Source organism: Homo sapiens, chromosome 21 (assembly GCF_000001405.40).
Source record: "Homo sapiens chromosome 21, GRCh38.p14 Primary Assembly".
In the NCBI taxonomy this organism is placed as follows: Eukaryota; Metazoa; Chordata; class Mammalia; order Primates; family Hominidae; genus Homo; species Homo sapiens.
In genome coordinates, this window is record NC_000021.9 from 39170082 (window position 1) to 39197729 (window position 27648).

A 27648-nucleotide genomic window follows, 5' to 3' on the forward strand; every position below is an offset into this window, starting at 1 on the left:
CCTATATAGGGCACTTACCATAAATGCAGCTTGCAGGACTAGAAGTCACTCAGGGTGAGTCAGTGAGCGAACGTGAAGGCCTAGGTTATTACTGTCCACTACGGTAGACTTTATCAACACTGTACACAGGCTACACTAAATTTATTTTTTAAAAATTTGCTCTCCAATAATAAATTAATCTTCGCATCCTTTTTTTGTTGTTCACTGTGGCATCCAGTTTCTACCCACAAAGAAAAAGCTCCAATGCACCTTTTAATTTTTTGAAAAATTCCTGATATTACAGAACTAAATTGAAATGTATTAACATCTCACTCTTACATTTTCATAATAAACAGAAAAATTCATAAGCCAAAAAACAAAAACAGGGAGTGCTGGTCACAGTGGTTCATGCCTGTAATACCGGCACTTCGAAAGGCTGAGGTAGGTGGATCGCTTCAGCTCAGGAGTTTAAGACCAGCCTGGACAACATAATGAAATCCTGTCTCTCTGAAAAATACAAAAATTAGCCGGGTGTGGTGGCATGCACCTGTGGTCCCAGCTACTTGGGGGTCTGAGGTGAGAGGACTGCTTGAGCCTGAGCGGTCAAGGCTGCAGTGAGCCATGTTTGCCCCACTGTACTCCAGCCTGGGCGACAGAGCAAGACCCTTTCTCAAAAAACAAACAACTACAAAAACAGGGGGAAACTTATATTGCTAAATACAATCTCAGCGTCAACACTGGAACAGAGAAAGGAATTAAAACACCTTAATTAAAAAAAAAAGGGTGGATGACAGGCTGGCACAGTGGCTCACGCCTGTAATCCCAACACTTTGGGAGGCCGAAGTGGGAGGATCATTTGAGCTCAGGAGTTCAAGACCAGCCTGGGCAATGAAGTGAGATTCCATCTCATTTTTTTAAAAAATAAAAAATAAAGGAATGGATGAGTGTTAAAAACCAAAAATTTAAAACTATTTAAAACCTGACATGGCTGCTTGTTCAGAAACTACAGATGGATGATGGGTGGTGGTGAACAGCAGAAAGGGGTTATAGTACGTGAATCTGCATTGTTCTAGCTGTTCCCCATGCCACTCATCCTAAGGTGAGCCGGACATTGATTAGCCATTGAGCCAGGCTAATGCTGGCAGCAGATCCAGTGATGGTAACCTGCCTATCAATAGATCCTTCCACTGGGTTCACAATTTTGATCTACGCTGCAGACATCTGATAGATCTCATTTATTCTGGTGCCTTGACACCTGATTATGCAGCCAGTATCATTTGGAATGGTGTTTATGAGAAGTGGTCTGAGCAGATGCATCCAAACCTGCACTGAACCCCAGCGTTGCTATCTACTGTAGGAAAACTAGATTGTTGCATTGTCAACTGGTGCAGCTTGGTCAACTCTAGAAGTGGTCCCTCCAGGTCACAGTTGAGGCACATGGACGAAGTGGTGTGGAGAAAGCAAGCTCACACTGTCGCTGCCTGTGCTGTACCTGTCCTGATCACCTGCAAAGATCACCGGAGAATTGGACAGCTTGGACCAGTATGGGATGGCCATGCGTTTGGGGGAAGACTCCAACACCACACAGACCTGTCCAACACACTCAATGATGGACTGCGGAATCCCAGCGATAGTGATGGCTCAGTCAGCAGCGTTGGGGAGCATATCCCCTGCCACCTGGACCTGAGCCCTGTACTCTCTCGTATTGCCTTGATCTTGCAACCACCTTTTCCAATGAGCCACAGTGACTAGCAGGGACCACCAGCATCAGGGTGACCAGGGGGTCCACTGGCAGCTGTGCTAGTGGTCACAGAGCTACTGATATCCTCTTCCAATCTTGCTTTGAAGATGGCGCTAGTGGGTCCAGCCAAGATGATAATTCTCTCAGAACAACTCCCTTCTGAGATGCTGATACATGCACCACTCTCCTCATGCATCTTAACTGATTCTCCTCTTTCTGATGATACTGCCAACTTCCTTTCCATGCATAAGTAGCCAGGTGGTGAGAATGACATTTAATCCAATTTCAATCATACCAGTGTCCATATCAAGCAGGGCTATGGGGAGCTGGACTTGGAGTGGTCAAGTCTTTGGCCAGTGGGGATGAAAACCAAGAACTCCAGGCAGGAGGCAACTCAGGGAAAAAGGAGAGCAGGCAGGGTGGGGCAGGGGTGGAACAACAGGGGTGGGCAGAAAGGCAACGAGAAGGAGGAGAAAAGGTGGTGGAGGAAGAGAAAGAAGGGAGAGACCTCAGGGCAGGTGGGAGAGAGCACAGCCTGTAGCTGCTCAGGCTGCTGCCTCTGCTGGTGTCAATCTCAGCTTCCTGTAACTTTTCTGCTTTCTAAACTTTTATTTTTTTAACTTTTTGACTCTTTTCTAATAACTTAGCTTAAAACACAAATACACTGTACAGCTGTACAGAAATATTTTTTCTTTATATCCTTATTCCATAAGCTTTTTTCCATTCAAAAGTTTTGTTTTTTGCTTTTTGTTAAAAACTGAGACACAGCACACACATTAGCCTAGGCCTACACAGGGTCAGAATCATCAATATCTCACTGTCTTCCGCCTCCATATCTTGTCCCGCTAGAAGGTCTTCAGGGACAGTAACACACATGGAACTGTCATCTCCTGTGATGACAATGTCTGCTTCTGGATACCTCTGGAAGGGCCTGCCTGAGACTGTTTTACAGTTCGCTTTTTTGTTACGAGTAGAAGGAATACACTCTAAAATAGCAAAAAATAGGATGTACATAAACCAGTAGCATAGTCATTTATTGTAAGTATTATGTACTGTTCATAGTTGTATGTGCTGGACCTTTAAACTGGCAGCACAGTAGGCGTGTTTTCACCAGCAACACCACAAACACAAGTAACACATGAGGTCTGACCTTAGGATGGCTACCACAGCCTAGGCGATAGGAATTTTTCAGTTCCATACGATCTTATGGACCCCTGTCTACATGCGGTCCGCCAGTGGTATGTCCTTATGTGGTGCATGACTATACACATCCTACTGGTTCTCTCTGGACTGCTCTAATATACTGGGCATATACTGTCTTGTCTGTGTCATCTGTTACTTCTCTATTTCTGTCCTGCATCTTAGGACACCAACTCAAGTTAGTCCTCCACATAATGGCTTTGTATTATACCCTATTTTATATATATGTAATATATATACAACTTAGATCACATACTATTTGTTGTTATTTTATATAATACAGATTTTAAAGTTGAAGTTTTGCTTCTGTTAAAATCTTTTCCATGAAATTTTTTAAATTTCCTTTCAGCTAGCTGCTGCTTCTCATACATCTCATTATTTGCTTTTGGAAAAAGCAGGGGTTCCTGACTTTTAAAAAATAGCTGTTTCCTACAGTCATGTTTTTCAACAGAATGCTCTTCTTCTGCATTTTTAATGCTGTTTCTATCCTTCGTATTGCTTGTTTTCTTCAGCTACTCTCCTTTGAATGGGAAACCTACCCAGGCCTGATGTCTGCTCCGGCTAGACTCGAACTCCTGGGCTCAAGCGATCCTCCTGCCCCAGCATCCCAGGTAGCTGGGACTACGGATAAGCACCGCTGTGCCTGGCTTGGTATCTGGCCCTAACGTGGCTCTGCTGCACTGACAGCCAACCTCCTGCACCTGCTGCCTGCTTCTTATCACAAGAAGAGGTTTACTCCTGGACAGTCTGAAGCAATTATGATTCTTTCCTTACCAAAATTATTAAAAACTACAATGCCCAGAGTTATCTGCTTCTAGGGTTCTCCCAGGATTACTGCCGATGCAAAACTTGTCCCCCAACTACTTCCACTCTTAGCCATTTGACACTGCCAAGCTCTGTGGTTCTCAAGTTAGCAAGAGGAAGTACAAGAAGGAATGAAGACTGACAGCTCCAGCTGCCCCCAGAGCAGCTCCCCACTCCTTTCTTACCACATCACCGTCAGCATCTTTGAGGTGGGGCACACAAAGGTGTGTCAACATGGAAATACCACCTTACAGTTCTTCAAAAGCATTCTTATATCATTATTCTCACAATTCAGCAAAGCAAGCAGAGAATTTCCTTCATTAAGCAGATGAAAACCTGGACCCCAAGGGAAGTAGATAACCACCCAGGGAGTACTGTCACCAGTATTATCTGTAGTTTACAGCTGAGAAAACTGTTGCTCAGGAAGCTTCAAGGCATCTGCCCAAAGTCACCTGGCCTGTAAGGGCTGGCCTGGGATTGAACATAGTCTGCTTTTCCAAGATCACTCTTCCTTACTTACCACACTGACCCTCAGCACAAGAAGAGGATTAGCTCCAGCTAGGACCAGATTCCAGGTCATATGATGTTACCTCAGGGCTCTGCAGGCACATTTCTGAATGAATGAAAACTTTTTTTGCAACAAGGGAAATGCTTAGATTTCTGCCTTCGGGATATATTCATAAGCATACTATGCACAAGACTTCCAATTCTTGATTATGTAAAGGAAACCAAGTTTACTCAAGAAGGAGTTAGAACACAGTATCTCCTTACCATACTTCTAATCATTACCAAAAACAGTAAATGAACTGGAACTAGAAAATATAAATGGGTAAGTACTCTAAATCTATAGTATGTAAATGATTCAATAACTAAAAAGGTGAAAAAGAAAGCAGAAGAGATAAGAAGCATTTAACTCCACCATTTTAAAATTTATTTTCATGAATGCAGTTCAGTTTGTGGTCCTGTGAAGTTGTGTGGCTACTCCGGGTTCATGATTCCATTCACACTCCTAATGATAACACATGACTGTAAGAGAACTGCTGACACGCGCAGAGCCAGCCTTGAAAGAGAGCCCTGGGAAAGTCTGGGTGAAGAGGCTATCTGTCAGATATTACTAAAAAGTGAGGACATACACATTTCTGTTTCATTTTTAGTAAATATATAATTTTGTTACTTTGTCATCAATTTTTACCCACAAGATAAAAAAAACTGCAGGACTCCTAAAATATCCAGAAACTTTCCACATATTAAGAATCACCAACAGGTCAATGAATAGTTACACCTAATTAACTACACTTTGCCACATGAATACCATCTGCTGATATCTGTAGCTTTGAAAAATTTAACTAAAGTTGGGCACAGTGGCTCACACCTGTAATCCCAGCATTTTGGGAGGCCGAGGCGGGGGAAATGCTTGAGCCCAGGAGGTCGAGGATGCAGTGAACCATGATAGCACACTGCACTTCAGCCTGGGCAACAGAGCAAGACCCAGCCTCAAAAAATAAATAAATAAATAAATAAGATAAAAATTTAACTATAGTACCTTAAAATATTCAAATACAACAATACTCCCACCTAGTGGATAAAAGGAAAATGCTTGGCTTATTTTGGTTGTGAATAATACCACCATAAATAAGGAATTAAAACTACAATTAATTTTTTACAATTTTATTCCGTTTCATCATTCTCAAAATATATCCCCCAAAAGTAATCTACAAAAGAGTGCAGGCTGCTCCCCTTAAAGGAATGGACAAGTAATATACACTACAAAACAATGTTTAAGATCATGTATAAATGTTACTCTGAATCTCATTTGTTGTCATCAATTTCTTTAGTATCTCAGTGCTTTGGGGAATATTCTGAAAGGAGAGAAAAAAGTGAATACAGTGAGACCCCAGGGATTCAGGCAGAGGCAACACCCCTCCCTCCACGACCAACAATCTCCACACTCGAGACTTAAAAACAGCCATGGGACAGGCGTGGCCTTTACTCTCCTTCTCAACGAAAAGGCAAGTGGGAAAGTCAGTTCAACAGGCCCTTTCCCTGCCACACTCGCCGATGATCTCCTGGCCTCCGATGGTCTCCTGGCCTCTGGAGGAAGTCTATGCTCTAACCCGCCCGACCTTCCCCACAAGATGTCTTCCTCCCCTCTCCACCAACACCACACTCCTCACGGCTCTCCTCACACTTTCCCACTCTGCTCACACTGCTTCCCTCTGCACACTTCTACCCAAGATTCATCCATCTTTCAAATCCAACTAAACTGCCACACAGGAAGAACTCAAAATAATTCCACCTTATTGAAAATACCACTTTTAAAAGGTCAGAAACAACGAACTGACTCAGGCTGATGTAATTGGTCATTAAGAAAACAGCACCCTGCAGAACCACCATCTTACCCTCCTGCTAATCATTATCTCCAAAGCAAAAATGAAAATGCTGAGTTAAATTTCCCCTTGAAAGTATATTCATAAAAGCTGAGTTTCCTTAAGCCCCATATGACAGATGATTTCCAAGTCTCTGAACAAGTCCAAGCGTTTATGACACACCTGTGTGCTACACACAGTCCTACAGCAGTAAACAAAACAGCCCAGCCCCTGCCCATGGGAACTCATCTCTGAGTTAAGTGGGATGAGGCAATTGGCTATTTAAACAAACAAGACGATCAGCATATACTTTGAAAGAGATGCTAAAAATAAATTAACTCCATGTGTCAGAAAGATTACCCTGGATTCTAGCTAATTTGCAAGATAAGCTTGCAGTATACTAAATCAGAGTTTTACAGCTGTACTCTTCAACAAATGGTTATTGATGGCTTTATTCAACATGCCAGGTATGTGGTAAACTTGGGATACCAAAATTAAAAATCGTGGTCCATTACCACAAGGAGCTGACAATCTAGTAACAAACTAATTTATGAGACCTGGGAAATGAGCTACTTCCAACAACTTACCACAAAAGTCTTAAAACTAATGGCCATTCCAGAATAAAACCGGGCTGAGGGACAATGTTGTTACAACCTCTTTCCTTTAAAGAAACCATGCTTAAACCAGAGGCTGTGGACTTCCAAAAAAGTCTCTTAAGAGAAAACAATGGAATCCCTAAACTACCTGAGATTACAGGCAAACATTTTCATGTACGTGTTCCAATTTTTTTAGAAAATGAGACCAAAGGTATAAACCAAGGGTAAGGAAGAGGTTCATTATGTAATTCTCTCATCTTCACATATACAGTTCTCTGTAAAATTGGGTAAATAAATATTATAATAATTTGATCCACACTATACTCAAAAATAACCGTCTCAAAAATTAAATAAAAATTTTTTAAAAAACCTTGCAAAGTAGTTATAGAAGCTTATTGAACAGTAAAACCATCTGTCCACATAGACATTTGGGATTTAATTGCACTGCATTAATCTATCATACAAGAACAAAGCATTCGTCAAGTTACAGACGTATACAGAAGAGATGATGACAATCAAATTCAAACTGCCAGACTAGAAAGCTTCGCTTTGAGAAGAATGGATCTCCAAGCATTGCTTAGGGTTTAAAATGACAGTATACATTTATGTTTGTTACTAAGCTGATTATAACAATGCAGCTATTAATTTAAATGAGTTAAAACCTTACCTTAACCAAACCCTTCAAGCTTCTGGTAGAAAGTATAGGCTTAAAAGCTTCCACTGTGATTAGGTCTAATTTCATCACATCAGTATAACACAAGTACAGAATTGCTGGGATTTTCCATACTTGACAGTAGCTTAGAACTATGAATACACAAGAAAAAAAAACGATGTAAGTTTTCTATTATGTTACTTTTAAATTAAACACCTTTAAATAATAAAGGCTGTTGTTAAAAGTAGTTATCTCAGCTGCCTCTTTCAATCAAGGTATTTACTGCAATTTTGAACCAATTATAATGAAGATTTTCTTTCAAAGTCAATTTATTTTCCTAATAATCTCTTCTTTTGCAAATATTAATTTTATATTTCCTGAAAATACAGCTGAGATGATTTAAGTAGCTGAAAGATTAAAATTCTACTGACTATAATAAAGCATATAAATAACAAATAAGTACAAAATGCATAAAGTGAAATATTTAGCCACTTCTCATTCTAGTAAACATTGAAAGCAAAAAGAAACCCCAACCAAACCCTATTTTAATACAGTTCATATAATAAATAACAATTATGTAATATATTACCCACTGAAAAGTAAATGGCAGTCTCTTTGTCATATGATGGCAGATGTGTGTGATGGTAATAAAAAAATTAAAGCAACTATCAAGATTCAATATTCAAAACTTCTGTTTTGATAATTAAAATGTACTTTATCAACTTTTGATGCACCAATAATTTATATTTAACACTGGCTTGCATTCTGAATAATCAAAGACCAAAAAGAAACACAGCATGTCTGAAGCCCAACAGTTAAGAAACATGAGCTCCTCAAATAACTGTGTCTGGAAAATCTGAAAACTCAAACTAAATATACTGCACTTGTAACTACAGATATTGAGGACTAACAGCAATATATTGGTATCAATCATCATTAATAAACTACCTCAAAAAGACCTCTAATGGTGAAAAGTAGTATCAATAAAGCAATAAGATAGAATGTAAATGTTACAAATTTTAATACCACCTGCTGCAGGAAGGTCGTGTACTATATTCGGTTGTTCTAGCAATGGACAACACGCCGAGTCTTTGAAATTCTGTGTTTTTAGGGCTCTCAGGAAAGGAGAAGGAAGGCTGCCGGTGGATTCTGAGGTTTTATAATCGGTAACATGTCGACATGTGAGAATAGTTATCTGCATGTTCTTCCTTGGACAAGAGCCAAAAACCTAACATAAAATTTATTTCAAATTAAAAAAAACATATAATTTTGTTACAGAATGGAAACATTCCTCTAGGTATTCACCTAACACCACAGACAATAATAGCATGCCTAGCAGGGGTGGGAGTGTGCCTTGGAGAAACAGAACACACCTGCTGTCACAACCTGGGTTTGATCTTGGTTCTGCTTTCTAGGTGGGCAATTTTTCCAAGTCACTCTCCTCATTAGTGAACTAAGGTGATATAGTTTAGATGCCTGTCCCCTCCAAATCTCATGTTAAAATGTGATTCCCAATGTTGGAGGCCGGACTTGGTGGGAGGTGACTGGATATGGGGGTAGATCCCTCATGAATGGCCTAGCACCACCCTGTTGGTGATACGTGACTTCTCACTTCTCGCTCAGTTCATGCTAGAGCTGGTAGTTCAAAAGAGGCTGGCTCCTCCCCTCTCTCATGCTCTCGCCATGTGATCTGCCTGCTCCCCCTTCACCTTCCACCATGATTGGAGGCTCCTGAGGCCTCAGCAGAAGCCAAGCAGATGCCAGCACCATGCTTCCTATACAGCCTGCAGAACTGTCAATCACTTAAACCTCTGTTCTTTATAAATTACCCAGCCTCAGGTATTCTTTATAGCAACACAAGAATAGATGAACACGTAATGCCAGCACTACCTACTTAAGGGGCCTGCGATGTGGAGTAAATGAAGTCAGAGTGCCAGAATAGCGACTACAGGTCTGCCGTCCAGAGAAAAAAAGTCACAGGTACACACCTGACATTCATTCCCTCTCCCACCTACCACTGACACCTTAAAAATAACTCTCATGAAATTCATTTTTGGAATTACTACACTTATAGGTAAGCTTCAATCACTGTGGTTCTAAATGTCCTCTTCTATAAGTAGAAGAGTCTGGATTTGATAGATTTCTAAGAACCCTTTTACCTTTTAATAAGATCTAAAGTGATGTAAACAAAGAAAGATGGGCGGGAGGAATCCAATTGTGTTTTATACTTCTGTGACCTACCATCCTCAATGCTGAGGACCAACTGTGTTTTATACTTCTGTACCTCAGCATTGAGGACGGGAGGACACAGAAGTATAAAACACAACTGGTTGGTCACGTTAAATAAGCAAGTTCTTTTATTCTTTATATTCCAAAAGAAATTCCCACAATATTTTAAAGAAATAAATATCTGACTGCATAAGTTTAAGTTAAAAGACATCGAACCCTTAAAAAATGAAAACTCCTGTAGACTAACCATTCACAGGTTTTCATTTCTCTCTTACCTTTTCCAGCCACTGATACTGTTGATCTTCTGCAACATAGCAACTGCACTGACAGAGAAAAACCTGAAAAGTCAAGTTCCACGCTTTTTGTCAAGTAAGTTTTATACACACCACAAACTATCACCATATATGTAACATGTGAATGACAACACTTAGGTAATACTTATTTTCCTGGCTCCACTATTGACCTACTTATTTCTCTTTAAAATTTAACAGTCAAACCACTACTGGTGATTAGTATCAGAAAAAGTGCACACTGACAGAGCAACTGAAAGATTTGCCATACTAAAGTATACTACCAGTAAATAACATGTAAGTGATACTTAAATAACTGCTTTTCAAACATACAAGTCCCACCTACCGAGGGATTGGATTTTAGATGATAAAACACACAAAAAGCCTCTGTGGAGGACAGATGTGTAGTGTCTGTTGTTCTACACCATTCATTCCAGAGTTTAGCACAACCAACTTCCTCCCAGACTCCTGAATTCATAACAAATGATGACAGAAATGCTGTAAAAAACAATTCACATAAGTTAGTGTTTGGCTCTGCAAGCTATATTTTCTATTCAATAAAAAGTAAGCTCAAGTTACTGTAGAATTTGAGAGCTGAAAGAGCCATTCAAGACCGTCTACCTAATACCACCATTATACAGAAAAAGAAACTGAGGCCCCCAAGAAGTAAAAGGCCACACACCCTGAGTAAGACAATCCTAGAGCTAGGGATCAAGAAGGCAGGTTTGTTGACAGACTTTCTACCACATGCTCACGGGGTAATACTCTTCTGAAAAACTTTAGGCCAGCAGAACTTTATATAAATGAGTCCATAGTTACTTGCCATCATGTACTTACTATGTTCTACAACCACTAGGGGTACCTTACAGAGGAAGGGATCTTAACTGGGTTTCCTGAATGTTCTCATCACAACCTGTGAACACCCTAAAAATATAAAGGTCTATGTGTGTATTTGTAAATGTACATTGTCCTAGCTGCACTCTACACTGTTTTTACTTTAATCCACCAAGAGAATTAATACATGCAAGGACCTTAAAACTTAAGTACTTAAACATGTTGATAATTATTACTGTCTTTAGAGTTTTGTGTTCTCAAAGGAGTCTATTAACTCAAAAACATTAACATAAACCCGGATACCTCAACACACTAGAAACAGCTCCTTGAGTTTTAAGTTCCTGAAGCTAAAAACATTTTCTTTAAAGCTTTTCTCTGAGTTGGGGTCTTGCTTTGTTACCCAAGCTGGAGCACGATCAGTGGGAGGATCGTGGCTCACTGCAGCCTCAAAATCCTGGGCTCAAGCAATCCTCCCATCTCAGGCTCCTGAGTAGCCAGGACTACAGGCAAGCACCACCATGCCTGGCTTCATTTTTTTATTTTTTGTAGAGATACGGTCTCACTATGTTGCCCAGGCTGGTCTCAAATCCTGGCCTCAAGTGATCCTCCCGCCTCGGCCTCCCAAAGAGCTGGGGTTACAGATGTGAGCCACTGCACCCAGCCTAAATCTGATTTTTTCAGTTTATTAAAAAGATAGTGCAGACCAGGTGCTGTGGCTCACACCTGTAATCCCAGCTCTTTGGGAAGCTGAGGCAGGAGGATCACTTGAGGACAGGAGTGCAAGACCAGCCTGGGCAACACAGCAAGAAACCATCTCTACCAAAAACAAAACAAAAAAAAATGATGCAACAGGAACAGGAGAGAGATTTTACTCAGAAATACAATCACTCTACTGTGGCTTTTTAAAGTACTAAACATTTTAAATCTTTTATGATGGAAGAAAATAAGTATATTTCATTCTTTCAACAAAATGACTAAGTCTTCTGCATTTTCACTTACCTACTGCATTATTTCCTATAGCAATTATAAACTTGGAGCACGGATATTTTTCTAGCAAAGAAACTTCCAAAGATGTTTTTGTTTGTCTTCGAAGGAGCCGCACTTCCCTAACACAAGAAACAAGATGAAACTAAAGCAACTTCAATATAAACAGTATCATGGCAAAAGGGCACTATATGTATGATTTACAATAAATAAAATGCACGTTAGTTTTATAAAGAATATAACTAATATCCTCAGAAAACGATGGACTCGGACAATGATAACCAACAGATAAAACTATTGCATACGTGTTTACGGAGAACTCTAAAATAGTGATCAGGCTGTCCACCTGACCCAAGAACCAATCTTAGCATCCCTAAAAGTGAGACAGCTGGGGATAGCCTGCAATAAGAAACAGAAAGCACCACTTAGTAGAAGCATTCTTGCCGACAAAACTTTGAATGAGAATCTGACCAAGCCTCCAAATGAACATTCATTTTACAGGACATGCAGGTGATACAAACGTTAAGTGACACCACAACGAAGCTATCAGACAAATTCAGAGTGTGGGGGCACTGGACAAGACAATCAGTCCTGTCTCTTAGGAGGGGTAAGAGGAGGTTGCTCTAAATGAAGTGACACGTCTAAATGTAACCTGTGGACCCTGTTAGGATTCTCATTCACGCAGACCACTGTAAAATGTCATGTTTGAAAAAACTAGGTAAACGTGAGTGAGCATGGACTACAAAATGATACTGGAAAATTAGTATTAGTGTTGTTAGGGGTGATAATAGCATATGTAAGAAAATCCCTAAAACGTTTGAGATGTATTCTGAAAAATGTAGAGGTGAAAGGCCATGATGACTGGAATTCGCTTAGGAGTGGCGGGAGAGAAAATAAACGTGGCAAAATCTTCCTGTTGAATTTACCCGGTTGTGTAGGGGTCAGGGCTCACTTGACTATTTTCTCCCACTTTTTTGTGTTTGGAAACAATTTTTTTAAAGCGTGTTCATCGGCTACTGACACATCATGCTAATTGAAGTGTTGGGTGCAGGTTTAAAAAGTTTCGAGGGAATTGGTGTGTCCGTGAACAATCCACGACAAACGTGGTGGGGCCCGCGGGAGCGCTGCGGCCCAAGACAGTGTGACAAGCGGGAAGATCACGAGTCCGCAAGACACCAAGCCTCCAGAAATGCTCCAGAAACGCTCCAGAAAGCCTTTAAAGAACGGATTTGAACCCAGCCCTCCCACAGCGGCTTCACCCTGGACTCCACGAAACGCCAGCAGATCCACGCGAGAACCACACACACCTGGGGCTGGCGCCGCTGGACGCCGCGGCTTCACGGAGACCCAGGGCCCAAGCAGAGCCAAGGAGCGGCGGCAACCGCGGGGGCCACTCGGAAGACCGCGGAGCCCCGGCCTTAGGCGCCGTCGCGGCTGCCAGGCCCGCGCACCTTCCAGCTGCGGTGAGCGCGCTGCCCTTATCCCGGTGCCTCACCTCTTCCGCGCCAGCTGCAGACGCACCTCCCTGTCCTCGGGCGTCTCCCTCCGCCCCTCCTCCTCCTCCTCTTCGTCCTCAGTCCCAGCTCGGCACGGCGCCTTCACCACCTCTCCGAAGAACGTGGCCGCCATAGCCGCCCCGTGACCGGCTGGACACAACTGCAGCGCCGCGGGACCGCACGCCGGCTTGCGCGAGACCACGCTCCCTCACCGCGCGGGCAATAAGTCCCGCCCCGCACAGGCCACGCCCTCCGCGCACAGCCCAAGCTCGCGGCCACACCCCCACCGCGCGGGCGCTACGTCCCGCCCCGCACAGGGCTCGCTCCCAGGCACACCCTGAGCTCGCGGCCACGCCCTCTACACCGCCCGCCCGCGCTGTCATGCCCTGGGCCAGCAGTCCCCGCAGCTTTTTTGTTTTTAAATTACAGATTGGGGGAGGGGGTCTCGCTATGTTGCCCAGACTGGTCTCGAACTCCAGGACTCTAGCGATCGTCCTCCTTAGACCTCCCAAAGTGCTTGGATTACAGGCCTCAGCCACCGCGTCCGGCCCCCAAAGGCTTTCATTCGCAGCTTGAGCCCTGCGGGCGCCAGGAGGTGGGAGGACTGCGGGCTAGAGGGGCAGGGGGCGAGAGGAGGGCGGGGCCTCCGTTCGTGGCGGTAGCGGAACCAGGGGTGCAGGGGCGGAGCCAGCGCCGCTGGCCGTGGCGTCCGGGAGCTGTGGGGCCGTCCCCTCATCGTCCGTTTCCATTTTCCTTCTGCGTTAGGAGAGACTGGGGTAGCATTAGTGTACTGAGCACCCGCTCCAAATTTCGACTGCCCAGGTAGGTGGCGGCGCGGTGGTACTGAGGGCCCCCGTAGCCAGGCGCGCCCTCAGACAGCGGGCACGGGCGGACGCAAGGGCAGCAAGAAATACAGCGCTTCGTGGTGGTATAAAAACGAGACCTTTACTCTGGCAATAGGAATTCACATTTCAAAAGCTGATGATTGTCAAGGCGATTTAAAAAACATTTTTATGAGTGTAAAAAATAGTGTTTTAAAGTTGGCCATTTTCTAATACAAAATGTTTCTTTTTAAATAGCCTTTAATAAGCAGAATGTGTGATTGTTCTTTAATTGGTTCTCTTTAAAATGTGCTGGAAGACAAAGTTCGAGGAGCACTGTTTCAAGCAAGAGAAAAAGGGGACATAATTTAAATGAAAATGAAAATATGCAGTAATGCAATGAAAAAACCGTTTCCTAGATTTAGTTGTACCGAAATACATGACATCGCCTGCATTTTGTGACTTTGTCAGTAGTCACGAAGGTAAGTACTACTTTGGGGTCAGAGAGAGCCTGTTGAGATAAAATCTCAAAGCTGTTAGAAACATTTTAAGATGTGGAAAGATAATCAACAAAATCATTTACATAAAATTAGTACTTAGCAGATGTACACATCTGCAAAAATAAAGTGAGTTTGGAAGCAAAATTTGAACATTTAGCAATAAAATTAAGACGAAATTGCTAGCCAGTAAGAGCTTAGGAAACTGGATATCCTTAGTGAGATAGAATAAACAAGATCACCACAATGATGTTTTAAAACATTAGGACTCCTGGGTTAACTGGTCTATTATGATGATGGAACTGCAGAATAAAAAGGTTGTTTGGGCACCACTTGTCTTAGTCCTTTTGTTAATTTGTCATTTTTACCAGTAAGATCTTCAATTTGATTTCACAGTTCCATGATGAAGAAATATTTTCTGCAAAGCAAATTACTGTAAATAGGGTAATAGTAATACATTTGGCCATGATTTAAATTCTGCACACATTTCAGAGAGAACAATTTTACAATGTTAAGTTTTAAGCAAATGCTTATTTCATGCAGTTACAATAAGTTTAGGCCAAGCACTTTTTAAAAAGGCAAATATGTTCGAATTAAATACTTAGCCAAAAAAGGATTTCATTATGCAAGACTGATAATACAATCTCAAATACTGACAGAAATTAACCCCACCACAGCAAATTATAAATTCAAAGCTTAAATTCTTTCATTACACTGAAATTGCTAAAAAAAAAAAAAAAAAAAAAAAAAAACTTTGCATAAAATAGTCTTCACCGAGTTAAGTATTTCATTTTATAGTTACTTGTTGAGGACATAATATACTCAATAAATATTATAAATTAAGTGTAAAATTTGAACTGGAAAGAAGTTTAAGCATTTCATTAGAGCTCAAAAATCAAACCCCATGCACCTAAAAGTAATAGCAGTTTATTAGGAATTCTTCCCTTTCTCACCTGTGTATCAACATATTGGGGATCAGTAATTTAGATGAAAGTATACTACAAAAGGAGCAAAGGACACAGACTTAGTAGGTTAGAATATTCTGGCTTATGCTAAAAAACAAAAAGCCTTTTTTTTAAAACAGACATGCAACCACAAATTTCTCAAGTATTTTAGACACTTGGTTCATCTGTATAACAAAAAAAAAAAAATGCATTTGACTTAAAAAAGAAATAGAAAACCCTAGGTTTCTGTAGTTTAGTTTTTCAGATTTACACATGCAAATCATATATTCAGATATTTTTAAATGGGAAAACAACTTACTTTCAACAACTTAATTTTTCCAGTAACACGTTACTATGTTAAAAAGATGCGACAGTATATTCATTTAATCTGGCAATTTTAATTTCAACAAATACATATTAACAACAAATTAAATCCTATTGTAAATACACTTCTTTGTTATACCACGACCAAATTTTCTAATCCTAGTACAGGCCACAATGAAATAGGCCAAACATGCTACCATTAAAGTTTGTTGGGATGAGATTGTAGTAAGTTTACTCAAAGTATTCAAGTTCTAATTTTTAAGGTGCTGTAGAGAAACATAAAAGATTTCACTGTATCTAAAAATATGACTGTTTTGATCTTAAGCTATACATTTTATTTTTATCTAACTGATTAAGACCTGCCTCTTAATGAGGCACATTTTTGGCATTTCTGTAAATGCTGCTACATACAAGTAAAAATAAGGAAAAGCCGTGATAGTAACATTCATAGCTTTCATAGAAAAATATATATTCCCTGAATTAGTCATATCAAGTGGTCATTCAGTATGAACTGCAATATTATAAACAAAATGACATCAATGGACTTTCTCTAATTGCCTATTTCCAACACTCTACTTCAGAACTCAATAATCAGTATCTCCAGCTGAAATTCCCAGGTCCTCCTAGTTTGTTTTTGACCTTTGGGGATGTGAATTGTAGGGAATGGATCTGGGTAGTTTTTGCTTCACTCAGAAGTCAAATAGGCCCATTAGCACTTCCTTTGGAAAAATGCCTGATTTTTTTTCCTCATGACACCATAGTTGTCGTGGTCTGAATTTTTACACTGTAATGGAGAACCCTGAAAATTAGCATCAGGTTAAGATTTTGAAATTTGTTCACTTCAAGTTCTTCCTAGCCTGTACACTTCCCATTATATTCTTCCTCTAAGGAATCATGTCTTCAAGGCCTTGCATTCTGGAAAGGAATAGTAGTCTTATAGCAGGCCATTTGTCTTTTCTTTCCACCTCTCCACCTACAGACTCTGCAATTTATTTCCTCCTCAGAATTCCCCAGAGCACATGTCTGTACAAGAGCTGACTGGGAGGAACCCACTGGATTATGGCTTTTAGAAAATTCCTCCAAAGATGCCAATAAGGGAGTAATTTTAGAGCTGGGAGCAGAATGTAACTGCCAGTTTACTTGTGTACCAATTGTTTTCAGATGCCACTTCTACATTCTCATAGTCACTATTGTGCATTTTCTTTCCAGGATCTGAACCCCCTTAAAAAAAGCATTTTTCTATTAATATCTTCTAGCTCTTTTTCACTTTCAGAATTTATGGTTGTATCATCCTCTTTATAAACATTCAGTAATTTTTTCTTAGCCGCAGCAGAAGCATTTCGATGGGGCAGTTTTCTGCTACTCTTCCTAATCCAGACATTTTCTGGTCCTGAGATCGTTTCTTTTAGATTACTCATTATCTTTATTTTATTTGCAGCAACAGTAGCACATCTGCGGGGAACTTTCTCAGGTACCATTTTTGCTTTCAGAGTTTCACTAGGCATCTGCACTGCATCCTTCTGATTATGCATACATGTTCTCACTTTTGTATTGGGTTCTCTGTCTCTAGGAACAAATTCTGAAAAATGAGTGAAAGTTCATGTAAATGCAAAAATCTTGTAACACAAGATTTTACTACTGCTAACATTCCTCAACAACACTCATTCGGAAACAATAAATTTAAAAGTCATATTGCTAAATGATAAATTTTAAAATGTGATACTAAGGGCTTCTTCACATTGATATAACCTTACATTTGCTTATCTACAACTATAAGGATGTCACTTAAAACAGTAGCAGACTTGTAAGAATGGGGTGAAAAGTTCCTTCAGCATCGGCATCATAAAGCTGCTAATCTAAAAACATATATATGAGCATTTTACATAATTTGAATTACTAAATCTTAACTTCATTGTTCCAGTATTTTCTGACCTAGGTATGTGACACACGAGATTCAGATTAAAATTCTAAAAAATAACACAGAGTTGCTTTAAGGAACCAAAAAGTGCAGAGTGCTATGAGAACACAGACTGGAAACCTAACCTAGCCTAAGGGATCAAGGAAGGCTTCCTTTAAGGAAGCTTTTAGACGAGAGGTGAAAATTGTGAAGGGATTTGCCAGACAAAAAGCACTTTGGAGAGTTAACTACTTCATGCAGACTAAGGCAGTTTTTAGAGGGGGCTTGAAATCACACTGGAGCTCTACACAGCCACATGATGCCAGAGCTACTACTCCGTGCTGACCAAACTTAGGAGGGCTCAGATATGTTTGTTACCAGTGTCTCAAAGCCAAATTTTCAAATTTCACAAACAAGTCTAATTAGTACTCTTCTAGAACAGAAGTGATATTCCTTTTACGTATCTGAAGTTCACGGGCCCTTGAATTTTAGGTCTTTCTTGCAGCCATGAACAGTCAAACTATCTAAAACTGCCTTCATGGTACACACCAATCTTGATGGCAGTTTGTTTTGTAGGACCCTGCCTGAAGTTTCCAGACATTTAGCATTCAAAAGGTAAGGCTGTAGATCACTGAAATAACCAGTTGATATCCTCCACCCACACTAGACATCTGGAGGACTCCACCACATTCTTTTTACTACTAAGTACTAGAAAATGAGAGCTCTTTTAGTCAGATACTATCAAGTAACACTATTATTCTGTAGCAATGAAACCACCAATGCCAACCTTCTGAACTTTTTCTTCTGTGAAGATGTTTGCCCTTCTGTCACAAAGCTGACTGAAGGGCAGATGAGTACAGGTAAAAACTGCTTCTGTGGACTGACATGTTCATACAGCTAGACTAATGAGGCAGGCCTCTGCCCTCACAGTGCAAGCACTTCAGATTTTTCCCTAAGTCTATGAAACTGATTTCACACTTCTCTAAGATCAGTTGAGCGTTCTCCCCAGAATAGGTTAGGAAATACTTTATTCAAAGCAACCCCACCACATACACATCAGTTCCTTTTGCCAACTAACTTATGTGATTCACATGTTTTTCCAGTGAAATTCTAAGGGCACTATGTTTTGTTCAGTGTTCAGTCTCCAGGCATTGTAAATGGCATTTTACCAGAGTAAGACACTCATCACGGCATTACTCTCATGCAGCATGCCCTTACCTCCTTCAGCTGGACTCTGTGGGAAGAGAAGTGGCTTAAAGTGCACTGTGTTTACCACTTCAAAGACACTTCTCTTGGGAATTTTAAAATTATGAACTAGTATCTCCAACAAGTCAACCCTATATCCAAAATGAATCTTTAACACATTAAATCAATGTTAGCAAATGCTAAAATGTAAATATGCTACAAAGGGTAAACAAAAATTTTAAAATATGCAAAATTAAGGTGAAATTTGCACTTTATAGTAGGATGAGAATATACTATTATCAACTAGCTGCACCATTTGCATTTGGAAGAAAAGAACAGATAACTGGTTCATTCCCAACAACCTATTCATCCAGACAAATAGATAAAATTCTATTTCAACTACAATTTGTAACAAAATGCTTTAAGTTGCAGAAATTCCATTTTGATGTGTGATCAAAGTACCTATACTGACAATTTAGGAACCTAGTAAATACTAATTCTAACACATTTTAATAAATGTTTATTTGTCATCCAGAATAATGGAAAAGTTAAGATTCTGCAGGAAAAAAAAAACTAAAATCAGGTTTTTAAAAAATACTTAAGGAAATTTGAACTTCAGTAACTATGCCCAAGGGAGGGAGAATTTGAATTACACTGTACTCTAACTTGATAAAGCTGAATCTCTTAAGTCTTAGACAATAAAACAGGAATTTCAGAGAATAAGGATAAAAACAATCTGAGGAAGACAAAACTGTGGAGAATTTTTTTAAATACATTCAAGTCAGTGTTAATTTTATTACTGAAAACTGAGTAAATTATAAAGTGCTTTTTCTCAAGAAAACTACAAACAGTTTTAGAAATATATATAGGATATTTCAGGGTTAGAAGTCAAATTTGTGTGTTAGGGTACAAGCTTAAGAACTCTGGATGTTGCTGCTCTAACAATGCATTTGTGATGGTGCCATGTGATACTAAGAAGTCAGTAGAATCCCACCAGTCCTACTGCCTCAGATGAGTCTTGTTTCAGTCATGGGTTTACAAAGTCATTGAGTGCTTGAGGACTTGTTTTCCTGGAAGTGATTCCCTACTTGGGTATGGCAAGAACACATCAGTAGTGTAAAACTGTACATCTGTAGTAGCACTCCATGATCATTTCCCTGGATGACCACTTTAAATTATAACTCACAGATATGTGTGTATTCTAAGATGGTATATGTGGTGAATAGAAACCTGGATACAAACATAACAGTTCTGACTCAACACAATCTCTAGTTTCTACATTTCAAGGATTAATCATATTCTAATTAGACTTTTTTTTAATTTTTAAGCTACCTTATTTACAGATTCTGCACAATATTTCATCATACAAAACTGTTTTCCTAAATTCAAAGTAAACTGCATATGGTTACTACAGAAGCATTATAAAATTTTCATTGGCATTTTTAAAATTGGAGCATTTAAAACAGATTTGAGAATGAGAAAAGAATGTCTGACTCAAAATGAAAACATACTAGCCTCTTTCATAAACTCCTAGAATCTTGACATTATTGGTTGCTGTGGTTGGTGGATAAATCAAATCCACAAAGTGGGTAAACCCTCTAGGTGCAAGTTATAAGCTCCCTCAAGCAAGCCTTTTATCAGAAAAGACTTGAGATATTCTCTCCTCTGTCTGCCCTTCATTGATAAGCAATGAAATGACCCCAAAACTCAGAAAGCAAATAACATTTATCAATGATCTTCATCCCTCCCAAAGCAGAAGTTTCCAAAAACATCCCATAAACTGAAGTACCCCAATGGCTGTAGAATAAAATGGTTTCTGTAACTTGCTGTGTTTTTAAACAGTTCCGTTTTCTAGGGGGAGCTGGTAACACTGCAGTATGGCAGCATCAGGTCAAAAGACCATCAGAAATAATTCCATGAACTAGTTCATTAGCTTATTCATTTTTAGGGTTCATTTACTCAATGATGGGCACCACACAACTCTGAATTTTTGTTCTTATTCTGGAACTACAACTAATCTAGCTCATCACAATACAGTTTTCTCTCACCCCTAGAAAAACTCAGATTTGTGATGGCTATTGCAATTTTTAATAAAAATCTCATAAAAGCCTTATTTTGAAATATGAATTCAGGGACTTTATACTTAACTGCTTAATTTGCTTTTTAGAAGCAATACCTTAAGAGCATTTCACACTAAATGCAGGCAGAATCAGAAGTAAATACTTGTTTTCAATCTACCCTATTACTGTACTACTGGAAAGAAACCAGGCCACAGACAATCCAATGGCAAACCCCTTTTCCAGCAGGGCTCCTGACTCGCTTCAGTTCCCCTATCCAAGCTCATATGTAAAACTCACAGCGCTCGCACCCCTATATTCTGCCTGCATGAAAAGAAATTACCAGTGGAAAAGAGGTTGGGGAACCACTTGGGACAAGTCTGGAATTAACCAGCTAGAATGTATTTGGCTTGGAGTAGTGTTTTGTTTTGTTTTTTAACTCTTTTGCTTGTTAAGATGAAAATGCTAAATTTATTATATCCCATTTAAGAACTGACAAAAATCATCTAAATGAATAGATTAATTTAGAACATTAACGATCTTATGTGAAGTGGAAAACTAAAGATCTGCTTGACAGGCTCATGTAATTTTTTGATTGGGATTTTGTAGGTGAATATATAGTTGCAGTCCAAGGACTGATTCACATTTAGAAAATTAACTTGAATATATCAAAAATTAAAGATCCCTTTAACTTTTACCCACTGATCAAAAAAGGTAATTTTTAAAATGATTTACCTTGTAAAACAAAGGGGTAGAGCTGCTACAGTCCATCTAGGCTCTATATACTGGTCATCTCATTTCAGTTAGGTCAATTGGACTGCCTCTTCTCTTTGGCAGTCTAAAATCTCATTTAAGGGCTTTAATAAATGAAAAAACTTACCTTAAAACTGACATAACTAAAATATGACCAGAAAGTATACCATAGCATTGATAATTAAATTCAAACTATTGGTCTTGCCATACTTGAGAAACAGATGTATAGTCTAATTATTTACATGTTGCCAAAGATAGAGCCTGCAGATTGGTAGAATCCAAATGATGTGACTCTCCCCCTCCCTCCATCAAATCTAGAAAAGCAATTCTTGAGCAGACACCAATTTAAAGATATTTTTCTACCAATTTAACAATATATTAGGAACCAGCTTGGCAGATTATGAAAAAGGTAAAAATCTCTTACTTTTGAGAATCCCCATGTATCCTTGGGCAACATCTCTGTAATTTAACAGCCTTTAAAACTTAAAATCGTAAGAAAAGACAACACAGCCCTTAGCATTACATACTTTACTTTTCAATCCTTACTATTCACAGTTTGAGCTAGGAATTAACATTTGCTAATCTAGTTGGACTCAGTTTTTCCCACAATGCTCTATTTTCTCACCTAGTTTTGACAAATTTATTCCTTCTCTTCCCAAATACTAGGATAAGAGACAGTCTCAAACTGTTAAGTTGCAAATTTCTTGGGGTTTCTGCTTTATTATTTCCTTGATATCCACAGCAGAAATTCAGAGGTATAACTTCAACATTAACAGGTGAAAAGTTCTACAATGACTTGTTGCACTCTATCACATTAAAATAATTGAACTATAATTTCCATACAACATAAGAAAACTACAGTATTTGGTGACAACTGCAAGATACCTGATAAATAAATATATCAACTTACTATTCATGAAAAGAATGGAGCTGGTTATTTCAGCTTTAAAAGGGCAAAGCAAAAAGACCATTTTCTAGCCATTTAAAAGTTACTCAAAAAATTGATACAATGGAGTGGAAAGGAAAACAAAAAAGATCGTAAGCACCTTTAACAATGTTCTTGCATTCTACTGATATACAAACCTCTGGGGTTTCAGTTGGCACAATCAAGTTCAACTTGTACTAACAGAAAATATTAAAATTCTTCCTATTTTTAATATCAAACAGGGAGGTTAGTAAATTGTTTTCTGATTCTTCTACAAAAAAAAAAGTCTAGAAGACAGAGGGAATGTAGTGTGCACCCCTTATTCTAAGTGATAATTTTTACTTACGAGGTCATAACGAGTGCAAAGGGCTTAGTGATGCATCTTATTCTTTACTTTTGGACAGTAACACCCTCAGATGGTATTTTTATTGGTTTGTTTTATATTCCCCTTTTCCATTTGCCCTTCTGTTTTGAAGTGCTTTTTCTTAAAACTTAAGTTCTTTGCCTCCATTTTCTTATAAACCCAATTTCCTCTTTAGGTGCAGCTCTACTATTTGAAAGGAACCTTTCTGTTGTAATTTACAAGCTGTGAGTAACTGCTATATCATTGTTTCCAAGGATTAATAAACTGAGAAATGATTTAATCAGATATTTGCCACTTACAAAAAGGGAGGCTGACCTTAGGAATTATTTGAATATGGGATAAACTTTTCCTTTTATTCATAAGTTACTTCACATTGTAAGTATACCTTTTTAAATAAGGAGGACACGAAAAAAGAAAGCTTTGTTAACACTCATCTATCTTGTCAATGTTTGAAATCATTTTTCCTTTATATGCTTGGTAAAGTGAGTCTTTCCAAGAAAGCAAAAATCAAATCTGAGTACTTCAAAGCCTGTAAAACCATAAATGAATAAAACCATAGGACTTTGGACATACACAACCAAAGTAGTTTTTGTTTTTCACATACACCATTAAGTTGAACTTCAAGTGCAGTGGAAAGGTACAGCACTTATTTCTGGATCAGTTCACATTCAAATTATAACCCTTTATCTTTTTCTCAAGAATACTACAAACTGACCCTAAACATTAAAGTACACCTGTGCATTAAATCCCTGGGCATTTTGCATAACGTAGAAAAAAAAGGCCAAACATGTTCTAGTGCTCAATGTAAACATTTTAACTATTAATGATTTATTAATTTTCCTTAAAGGTACTTAGGAGTGTGTGTGTCACATATTCAAAGTTAACCTTAGGAATAGCACCATAACCAAAAAAACCCATAAAAATTATTTTCTCCATTATCTCTCAGTTTTATTTCATAACTTGAGAAGCTACCATTGTCGGCTATGCTTTTAAAGACATCAGGTCCATTCTTGCTGCTTCTGATGAAACCAAATCTGATTAAAAACCAAAATACCACTTCTGTATGCAAGGGTCTAACTATTTTGGACTGAAAGAAAAAATGGTAATTGGATGGCCAGTCAATGACCAATTAATGCAGTCCAAATAATCAGAATAGTTCTATTAATGAAGCCTAAACTGTCAAAATATTGTTTTATACCAAAAGAATGTATGTACTTATGAATGTATTCCATATTTATTTATGGATTTTTTTGGTACCTTTTTGCAAATGATGGTAAACATGGAGTTAAAACCTGAGAACAGATTATAAAAGAGAAGGTTAAGAAGAGTTTAAATAAATTAATGGATTTGACATCTATCACCAGTTTTTAAAATTAGCAAAGTAAAAGGCATCCCATTAGTCTTTTCAGTCTTAGTCAAGGACAATTATCATGAATCAATCTGTTTACTATCTACTTAACACAAGTTCTGAGAAGAAAAGCATCATAGTTCTGAAATGGTGATAGCTCTCTAAGCCACAAATGAGAGGAGGTTTCCCACCTATCTCAGTTGATAATGTCCAAAAACATCCTTCCCCATGCATCAGAGTAGAAAGAAAATGTACCTTCTACTATGTCAAATGGAATAGATAACTACAAAATAGGAACACTTCAGAACATTCTCTAACATTAATACCAGTCTGATGCTTCGCCTTGTCTGCCACTTCAAAGATACACAGGAGAAAAGGTTTTGTCTGAAACCAAACACAATTAGGGCTAATAAATAACATTGTCTAATATTGATACCAGTCTGATGCTTCACCTTATCTGCCACTTCAAAGATACACAGGAGAAAAGGGTTAATTTTGTCTGAAATCAAACACAATTAGGGCTAATAAATAACTTACAGGTGGGGTACTGTAACATATCCCTTACCCACTAAATATGTAAACCATTTGAATCAAGTCCATCTTCAGGCACAAACAAGTTAGGAATGGCCATCTACACTGGAGTAGCATAACCTATCAAGTATTTGGTTAGAAAATAAGTGTACTATTTGTGTGATAAACTTTCACTTTAAATGGATTATAAAATTATTTTCCCACAAAACATGACAGTTTCTTATATTTGGACTAGAAGTCACTAATAAAGATACATTTAGTTGCCCCAGCAAAGAATGCTTAGGATTGCACATGGAAGCAGTAAACTAAAACAAAGAGATGGAGAATGACATTTAGCTATTTTCCTATATAGATAAGATTTGCAATTGTACTCTTAACAAAACTCACCTCTACAATTGGAATACAGATGGGGGAAACCTACATATTAACTTAAATACTCTTTTAGCCCTGTACACTCTATTAAAGAACACACTTCTAAATCTAAGGCACACGAATTCCTCTATTTCACAGAGTAAGATTATGGAAGAGCAAGATTTTGGTTAAATCCCTTACAATGGAAACCAGGAGATCTTGGACAGAAGACAGATTATATAGCATTTTGTTAGTGCACAATTTAAAAGAAAATGCTCTGACTATGCTCTGGTCCTAGAGGTTTAAAACATGCACTCAAATCATTAAAAATAATTTACCAGCACTTTATAAATTCAAGTTTATAACATAAAAGTGACAACGTTTTCCTTAAGAAGAAAAAAACCCAACAGCACTTGGGAAGAAAATTAGAAACCATTTCAATGAAAGTGACCAGATCTGGTATAATGCATTCTACTCAAGTAGCCAGGGGAAGAAAAAAAAAAAAGTGGTAGGTACCTCGCCTACTAATCATGGTTACACCTCCCATGATTATAGTGTCAGTATGCATGTATTTATGAAGAATCTGTAAACATAGGTTGTGAAATTGTTGTAACTACTATAGAACAGGGGTTAGAAACTACTGCCTCTTTGACAAATTCAGAAAATAACTGCATGACACTTGCTGCCATGAAAGTAATGCTCATTGGTTTTGATAACCAGGATGTCTAGTGTTTAACATATTTCAAACTCTTGCTATATGTAGTCAAATACTGTCAAAATAGATCTGCCCCCAAAATGAAGCATATTTTGGCACCTGTGCTGAATGCTGCTACAAAGACCAGCAAGTGCAAATAAAAATAACAGTCATGATTTAGTCACATTCATAACTTTTCATAGAAAAATATAAATATATTCCCTGAATTGTAAGACAAAAAAATAATTTTAACAGCCAGCTTTCACCATAAATGCCAGTCCATTTCCTCTTAAATGAACTGGCTTTCCCTCAAGGTCATAAGGTGCAACCATTGAAATCTAACACATTTTCTAAACTTCTGTCATCATCCCCATCATGGTATCTCACAGTCCTTCTACCCTGATTTCTCGTTTTTATTTTTGAACGTCGAAGAACTCTTTTAGATTTTGCATAGTCCAAATCCTCCCAGTCATTATCATCCACACTTAACCTAGGGCGTTTGCTTTGTCTTTGACGTCTCACAGTTTTAGATATGTTAGCTGTAAAAGTTTTACCTTTTCTAACTACTTTTGCTTTTCCTTTCGTTTTCCTCCTTTTGGTTTTTGTATTATCAGTACAGTCAATATCTGATTCAGTTACAGATCCCAAATCTGATGATTTGGAACTAGTATCAGGTCTAAACTTTGAATTCCCAGTTGTTTCAGAGATTTTCACATTTTCCAATTCAGGATGCGATCTCTTCCTTTTTACTTCCTTCTCTGCTGTTTCCTGTGAATCATGAATCACTTTTGTCTTACTAAAAGGAGCCTTTCCATAGGTCCTGAGTCTTCTGCCATTCCACCTGCGCAGCCCATAATTCAGTTCCACTTCAAAATTATTCTCTGCAGTAGCTTTTTGTGCCAAGGTTGACTCTGAAGAAAATGTCCTATCAGTCTCACTCCCTGGAATATGACTTTTTGAATCTTCTCCTGAAGATGTAACAGAGGAACTTTTTCTTTTAGAAGGTGCATCTATTTTGTGAATATTGGTATGCCTGTGCTTGTGTTCTGAATTCAACATATCTTCAGAGTCTGAGTCTCCATTTAGAGCCTGACTAAGCACTTTTGTACTACCTTCGGAGTCAGGATCAGGTGGCTTGCCTTCACAGGCATACTGTTCACTTGGTACTTCACAATGTACACTTCCTTCACAATCACTCAATTTCTTCTTAGCTGTAGTACAAGCAAGATGGAGAGGTTTTTTCCTTCCATTTTTGCTTCTAGTGTGCACATTTTCTAAACTGACATCTTCTACATCACTCATGAGCTTGATCTTATTGGCAGCCGTAGCTGCACATCTTCGAGTAATCCTCAGGAGACCTGTTCTGGCTTTTGATGATTTCTTAACCACCTGTAAACTACTGTCTGAGTCACTGGAACAGACCCTTTTCCTGGAAATTTTTCTGCTTAGTCCATTGTCTTGTGATGCAGAATCTAAAAGTTAAAGAGCAGATTTCTATTAATCTTTTGTAAGTCTAAAGGAATTATATGTTCAATATTAAAAACAAGTTCAGAATTCGTATTAATTTGAAGGGGGTATTGCAGTGAATGGAATGGTACACACCTATTAGTATAGTCATATGTTGCTCAACAGCAAGGATACGTTCTGAGAAATGCATCGTTAGGCTATTTCGTCTTAAGCAAACATCACAGAGTGTGCTTACACAAACCTTACAGTACACCCTACTACACATCTAGGTTATATGGTATAGCCTATTACTCCTAGGCTACAAACCTGTATGACATGC

General features: G+C 38.7%; 2 protein-coding genes and 1 pseudogene across 12 annotated transcripts in view, besides 3 other annotated features; all 3 read right to left on the bottom strand.

Annotated features, from left to right (window-relative positions):
* Positions 202–2287, bottom strand: PCBP2P1 (PCBP2 pseudogene 1; annotated as a pseudogene).
* Positions 4688–13433, bottom strand: PSMG1 (proteasome assembly chaperone 1). 6 transcript variants are annotated; one of them, XM_024452135.2, is made up of 7 exons: positions 13171–13433; positions 11691–11820; positions 10204–10355; positions 9843–9905; positions 8368–8566; positions 7354–7490; positions 4688–5583 (listed from the first exon to the last, which is right to left on the bottom strand). In XM_024452135.2, exons 3-7 carry the CDS (start codon positions 10333–10335, stop codon positions 5509–5511), a joined length of 606 nt encoding a protein of 201 aa, XP_024307903.1. In that variant the 5' UTR covers positions 10336–10355; positions 11691–11820; positions 13171–13433; the 3' UTR covers positions 4688–5508. The 6 variants fall into 6 exon arrangements, 5 of the variants coding, with proteins under 5 accessions (XP_024307903.1, NP_003711.1, NP_001248753.1 ...); NM_003720.4 differs by having other exon boundaries at positions 11691–11797; positions 13171–13370; NM_001261824.1 differs by having other exon boundaries at positions 5365–5583; positions 9843–9890; positions 11691–11797.
* Positions 13046–13125: a silencer, noted in NCBI's record as "silent region_13319". NCBI's record gives its function as "represses an Ori minimal core promoter by ATAC-STARR-seq in GM12878 lymphoblastoid cells {active_cell/tissue: GM12878}" and the evidence as "EXISTENCE:reporter gene assay evidence [ECO:0000049][PMID:35858748]".
* Positions 13326–13545: a silencer, noted in NCBI's record as "silent region_13320". NCBI's record gives its function as "represses an Ori minimal core promoter by ATAC-STARR-seq in GM12878 lymphoblastoid cells {active_cell/tissue: GM12878}" and the evidence as "EXISTENCE:reporter gene assay evidence [ECO:0000049][PMID:35858748]".
* Positions 14095–27648, bottom strand: part of BRWD1 (bromodomain and WD repeat domain containing 1) — a 137037-nt gene continuing 123483 nt past the window's right edge. For 5 of the 6 annotated variants that reach the window (XM_017028373.2, XM_011529611.2, NM_018963.5 and 2 more), the window contains 2 exons: positions 26417–27334; positions 14095–17336 (listed from right to left, as the gene is read on the bottom strand). In XM_017028373.2, the coding sequence (XP_016883862.1) occupies positions 16945–17336; positions 26417–27334 (1310 nt within the window). In that variant the 3' untranslated portion in view covers positions 14095–16944. Of the gene's footprint in view, positions 27335–27648 lie in introns of all 6 variants that reach the window. The other variant, NM_033656.4, reaches the window with a different exon arrangement.
* Positions 18774–18823: an enhancer, noted in NCBI's record as "active region_18466". NCBI's record gives its function as "activates an Ori minimal core promoter by ATAC-STARR-seq in GM12878 lymphoblastoid cells {active_cell/tissue: GM12878}" and the evidence as "EXISTENCE:reporter gene assay evidence [ECO:0000049][PMID:35858748]".